The following is a 6,449-nucleotide window of genomic DNA, read 5'->3' as shown; positions in this document are numbered from 1 at the left end:
AGCCAGCTCTGCAGCGCCTGCTGCTCCCACACTTAAAGTTGCATTCCCTGGCACACTTGCTGGCTATTGGCTCCCCACTGTCCACCTGCAGGATGGATAGCTCTCCCTCACACGGTCAGCAGATTAACTTTTTCTCTCTGGGCGCATGCAGCATGTACAGTATCAGCAGGGTAGTTATACCTTTTACAAACAACAGTGGCTCCAAGCCAAGTGAGGATTCTCCCCATGTTATGGCTACATAGCTGTGATTATATAATGCATGGAATTGTGCACCTGCACTCCAATCCCACTGAGTCATGCAGGATGTTTTCCTTGGCCTATTCTTGACTAAAGCACATCCATTTACCTTACAAGCCCTTAATTTGGGAGGATGACATTAATTAATATCACACAATTGAAGATTACTCCCTGTGGTAGGCAGAAAAAAACGGTTTCCTATAAGATATCTCTGTCAAATCACCTAAACCTGTGAGTTTTCTTATTTGGAAAAGCATTCTCTGCAGACGTGATTAAGTTAAGGATGTTGAGTTGAGACAATAATGGATTATCCAGGTGGACCAAAATATGATAGGAGTCCTTGTAAGAGAAGGCAGAGAGAAATTTAAGACAGGAAGAAGAGAAGACATAGAGGAGAAGATTATATAAAGAGGGTAGTGATTGGCGTGGTGGAGCTATGAGACAACGAATGCCAAGAATTGAAGGTAGTCACCAGAAGCTAAGCTAGGAGGGAGGAATGGGAAAGATTCTCCCTGGAGTTGCTCAAAAGAGCACAAACCTGCCAACACCTTGATCTCAGACTCTGGCCTCCAGACTGTAACATAATAGATTTCTGCTGTTTTAAGCCACTAATTTATGATAATTTTTATAGCAGCCATATAAAACAAATAGTTCCTAAGTATTTTTGAAACAGAGCATATTTTGTTCTAATTATCAGTTATTTATAGGGGGACCTGCCCCGATAATCATGTAGGTTCTTTTCTATTTCCCTAAGTGTCAGCCAGCTTGAGAAATAAAGGGACAGAGTACAAAAGAGAGAAATTTTAAAGCTGGGTGTCTGGGGGAGACATCACACTTTGTTAGGATTCATGATGCCCCACAAGCTACAAAAACCAGCAAGTTTTTATTAGGGAGTTTCAAAAGGGGAGGGAGTGTGCAAATAGGTGTGGGTCACAGACATCAAGTACTTAACAGGGTAATAGACTATCACAAGGCAAGTGGAGGCAGGGCGAGATCACAGGACCACAGGACCGAGGTGAAATTAAAATTGCTAATGAAGTTTCGGGCACCATTGTCATTGATAACATCTTATCAGGAGACAGGGTTTTGAGATCAACCGGTTTGACCAAAATTTATTAGGCGGGAATTTCCTCTTCCTAATAAGCCTGGGAGCGCTATGGGAGACTGGAGTCTATTTCACCCCTGCAGTCTCAACCATAAGAGACAGGCCACACCCAGGTGGGCTGTTTATAAGCTGATACCTCCAGGCGCTTATTCTCTTTCTCAGGGATGTTCCATGCTGAGAAAAAGAATTCAGCGATACTTCTTCCATTTGCTTTTGAAAGAAGAGAAATATGGCTCTGTTCTGCCCGGCTCACTGGCGGTCAGAGTTTAAGGTTATCTCTCTTGTTTCCTAAACATTGCTGTTATCTTGTTCTTTTTTCAAGGTGCCCAGATTTCATATTGTTTAAACACACATGCTCTACAATTTGTGCAGTTAATGCAATTATCACATGGTCCTGAGGTGACATACATCCTCCTCGGCTGACAGGATTAAGAGATTAAAGTAAAGACAGGCATAGGAAATCACAAGGGTATTGATTGGGGAAGTGATAAGTGTCCATGAAATCTTTACAATTTATGTTTAGAGACTCAGTAAAGACAGTCATAAGAAATTACACAAGTATTAATTTGGGGAACTAATAAATGTCCATAAAATCTTCTCAATCCACGTTCTTCTGCCATGGCTTCAGCTGGTCCCTCTGTTTGGCATCCCTGACTTCTCACAACAGTTAGTTAATATTTTTATCTTCTTTCCATATTATAGGTTTACTATGACTTCTGATATAGCTAATTAGGAAAGGCCTACCAGAATTGCAGAAGAAAAATAAAACTTCTAAAATGTGGTCAGTAAAAAAAAAATAGGGCCGGGCACAGTGGCTCACTCCTGTAATCCCAGCACTTTGGGAGGCTGAAGCGAGCAGATCACGAGGTCAGGAGATAGAGACCATCCTGGCTAACACCGAAACCCCATCTCTACTAAAAAACTACAAAAAATTAGCCAGGTATGGTGGCAGGTGCCTGTAGTCCCAGCTACTTGGGAGGCTGAGGCAGGAGAATGGCGTGAACCTGGGAGGCGGAGCTTGCAGTGAGCCGAGATTGAGCCACTGCACTCCAGCCTGGGCAACAGCATGAGACTCTTTCTCAAAAAAAAAAAAAAAAAAAAAAAAAAAAAAAAAAAAAAAATTCCAGGAAGCCAAGATTCTATAAGTCAAAGATTTTTAAATGCATAAACACAGTGAATTACTCATAAATAACTTTAGAAAAAAGTTGAAATTACAAAACTAGGAAAAGCCTATTTAAGATAATAAAGATAAATCTCCCTGTTTCATCCAAAGTAAAATACACTTGCCTCTATAATTTAAATAATAATTTCAAGAAATACATTTTTAATATCTTATATATGGCTAAAATATTCACTGTAGGTAGGATATAGGCTACATCACTCCAAGTGTACAACAAATTAATGTTATATTTGTTTTTAATGGTACAGTTTGAGTATCCTTTACCTGAAATGCTTGAGACCAGAAGTGTTTTGTATTTCAGATTTTTTGGTTTTCAGAATATTTTCATGTACATAATGAGAATCTTAGAGGTGAGATCTAAGCCTAAATATAAAGCTCATTTATATTTCTTATGCATATAGCCTAGAGGTAATTTTATATAAAAGTTTTAGTAATTGTGTGCATGAAATAAAGCTTGTGTACATAGAACCATCAGAGAGCAAAGGTTTCACTATATTCACCACCCATGTAGACAATCTGTGGTTTTTTTAAGCATCAACATCATTCCTGACTTTGAACTTATGTGCTATTCATGAGTGATCATTTTCATATACTTATTTACAGATAAGTAATTAACAGTTAAAAAAAGGCATACAATTAATAAAGTGAAAATTTGTCTTCCGGGTAGCTAAGCAACACAGCAGCATCACCAGAATACTTAGATCAGCTGTTAACAGCAACAACAAACAAGCCAGGCTTTTAGTTCCTACGTATAATGCAGTGTTTTAATTTAAAAGGTTTATGTACGTTATATATTATTTTAATTTTTTAGGTGAGAAAAAACATCAGATGAAGTCGAGGGACCAGAAAGTGAGTCTTCTAGGCATGAGGATCCATGCTCCTGGATGGCTTTTTAAAATGTTTCTTCCAGAATCATCTGCCTCATTAATAACAGTTTTCCTTAGAAGTCTCTCTTTGATTTATAAATTGACATATTTTTGTTTTGATATGAATGCATGCAGCTCTATTTCTTAAGGAGCCCATTACACGTTTTGACGTCATTTATACTTTTACCGCAGTTTTAACATCATCGTCTTCATCATGGCTATTATCATGATCACCTTGATTCATAATCATTTTGACTATTTTTGATTAGTCAATGAATAAACCACTGGAGCTTAATTTCTAATGTTAAAATTTTTTTTGATATCCACATCTTCAAGCTTACTGATGGATTCTGAAGCTATATTTTTTGCATATATAAAAGGTCAGACATCATTTTTACTCTCACTTGATGTATGAAATCCTAAAAAGTCACTACCTTGTTCATAATTATCACTGAATTTAGTCACAGGTCAGAGGTTGAGCAAGACATGAACAATTGTGTTTTTAATCACTGTGTTCTAAGCATTGCCAACAGAATATATCACATTTGTCTTGTTAAAATCATTCCAAGGCCAGGAGTGGTGGCTTACACCTATAATCCCAGCACTTTGGGAGGCCAAGGTGGGCAGATCACAAGGTCAGGAGTTCCAGTCCAGCCTGGTCAATATGGTGATACCCAGTTTCAACTAAAAATACAAAAATTAGCTGGGTGTGGTGGTGGGCGTCTGTAGTCCCGGCTACTCGGGAGGCTGAGGCAGGAGAATTGCTTGAACCTGGGAGGCGGTGGTTGCAGTGAGCCAAGATCATGCCACGGCACTCCAGCCTGGGTGACAGAGCTAGACTCTGTCTCAAAAAAAAAAAAAATTTCAAAAACTTTCCACACCATGCCTCTGTTCACTGATGCTATCATGTTGTTCAAGAAAGTGTTTCCTTATTTAATCAATCTAATGATACCCTGGTCACATGGCTGAATTTGAAAGAAGGTGCATGGCATAAACATTATTTTTGATGAGAAGTAATAACAGAACCTTACAGTTATTTAATCTAACTTTCCTGCAGTAAGCACAAGACTGTTATCAAATGTTTGTGAAACTAATCAGACAAAATTTCTCTAGTGATCTTGCCTTTTTGTTAGCATAACAATGGACTGTCAAGAAACTTGGCTGGGCACCTTGGCTCATGCCTGTAATCCCAGCACTTTGGGAGGCCGAGGTGGGTAGGTCACTTGAGGTCAGGAGTTCAAGACCAGCCTGACCAACATGGTGAAACCCCATCACTACTAAGAATACAAAAATTAACTGGGCATGGTGCACACCTGTAATCCCAGCTACTTGGGAGGCTGAGGCAGGAGAATCGCTTGAACCTAGGAGGTGTAAAAAACAAAAAAAGAAACTTATTCTCTGAAAATTTTGAGGACCCAAGCTTTTGCCTATCACAGCACGTTTACCCTCATGCATGCCTGTTGCATTAGCACATCCCAGCATAGTTATTCTATTTTTGGCATTCTTCATTTCTGTTGGCTTTTTCTCATCAGCTGTAATCAGTATCTTTCTGAGACAATAACACCAAAAAAGTGGTGTTTCATCAGTTTTATTGACTTGTTCTAGTGTCAGATTTTCATCAGTGATGACCTTAGCAAACTCATCAATGAATTTCTCTGCTGCTTCAGGATCAGTAGATGTTTTATTATCCCAAATCTTTCAAAATTTAATGCCATGTTTTTTCTTACATTTCTTCAACCAGTCTGATGAATATTCAAATTTCTCTTCAATTAGATATTTGCTTGTTTTATAATCAGCTTACCATCAAGTGCTGGTGTCCACTGTGATGCTGACCAATTCATTCTTTCAATACACTCTCAAGATCTCCAGTTTTAGTTTTATGCAGTGTTTTTCTATTTTTCACTGACTTCTGTTCATCACTTTTAGCAAAGAAATTCAACAGTTTATCCTCTGTTTCTTCAGGTCATATATGATGGTCATTCCAACATTATACTTTTCTGTGAGATGTTTCATGCTTACACTACTGTTCAGTTTCTTCAACAGCTTGACTTTCCGTGATGTAGATAAACAAAAATGCTTCCTTTTTTTCTTTATCACTGTTACCCATAGGGATATCTGCAGCCCGTTTTGACATTTTCAACCATACCTTTATACCCCAGAGCAGAGAAACAGAAAAAACAAAACACAGTGAATAGTGCATGTAGGTCTTGGACACATGTGAGGCATTATGGAAAATGCACCAATGGTACATCCAGCCTGCACATGTATCATGTTATTATACTCTGTGGGCTCACACAGGGGAGTCTGGGTATGTGCAGAGAAGATATATTGCAAAAGAAGGGGGATGGGAAGCTGTTCTTTCTACTAGGGACACTGAATAAACGGTGTTGCATATGGTGTTGTTCAACTGCATTTTGATTGGAATTCATCATATGAGGTCAGGTGTGGAATTTTCCACTTGTATTTTCATGTCAGCACTCAAAAAGTTTTTGATTTTGGAAGACTTCAGATTTCGGATTTTCAGATTAAGAATGCTCAACCTGTATTAGAATAATTACTCAATTAAATCAGATTTGTTTAATTCCTAATTATTTTATACCATTCATATTTTTTCATTTAACTTTTTTTATTGATATATAATAGTTGCACATATTAATTGAATACATTTTTAACATTCACCACTGAGTTTCATCTCATATACAAGTAGGATGCTGTCAGACATGGAGTCCACGACCTGGAGTGAGAACTTCCCTGATGCCTTTTGGCCAGTCGAATGGTGCATTTTCTGGGCCCACTCATGGACCAATCAGCATCCACGTCCTCCATTCTGAGCCCATAAAAACCCTGGACTCAGCCACACTCAGACACACATTGAGACTACCTGCCTGCAGATAGGACCTACCCACTTCAGGTCTCCTCTCCACTGAGAGCTGTTCTATTGCTAAATAAAGTTCTTCTCTGCCTTGCTCACCCTCCACTAGTTTGTATTACTTTCTGTTTCCTGGACGTGGGACAAGAACTTGGGACCTGCTGAAAAGAGGGCATGAAAAAGGCTGTAACA

General features: G+C 38.7%; 1 annotated feature.

Moving 5' to 3' along the window:
* Nucleotides 1,094-1,602: an enhancer, noted in NCBI's record as "NANOG hESC enhancer chr4:118045000-118045508 (GRCh37/hg19 assembly coordinates)". NCBI's record gives its function as "activates a minimal SCP1, AML or CMV promoter by ChIP-STARR-seq in primed H9 embryonic stem cells {active_cell/tissue: H9 hESC(primed)}" and the evidence as "EXISTENCE:reporter gene assay evidence [ECO:0000049][PMID:30033119]".

The sequence above is a fragment of the Homo sapiens genome, chromosome 4, assembly GCF_000001405.40.
Source record: "Homo sapiens chromosome 4, GRCh38.p14 Primary Assembly".
Lineage (NCBI taxonomy): Eukaryota > Metazoa > Chordata > Mammalia > Primates > Hominidae > Homo > Homo sapiens.
The sequence above is the reverse complement of the archived record's forward strand: the minus strand, read 5'-3'. Positions and strand labels throughout refer to the sequence as shown.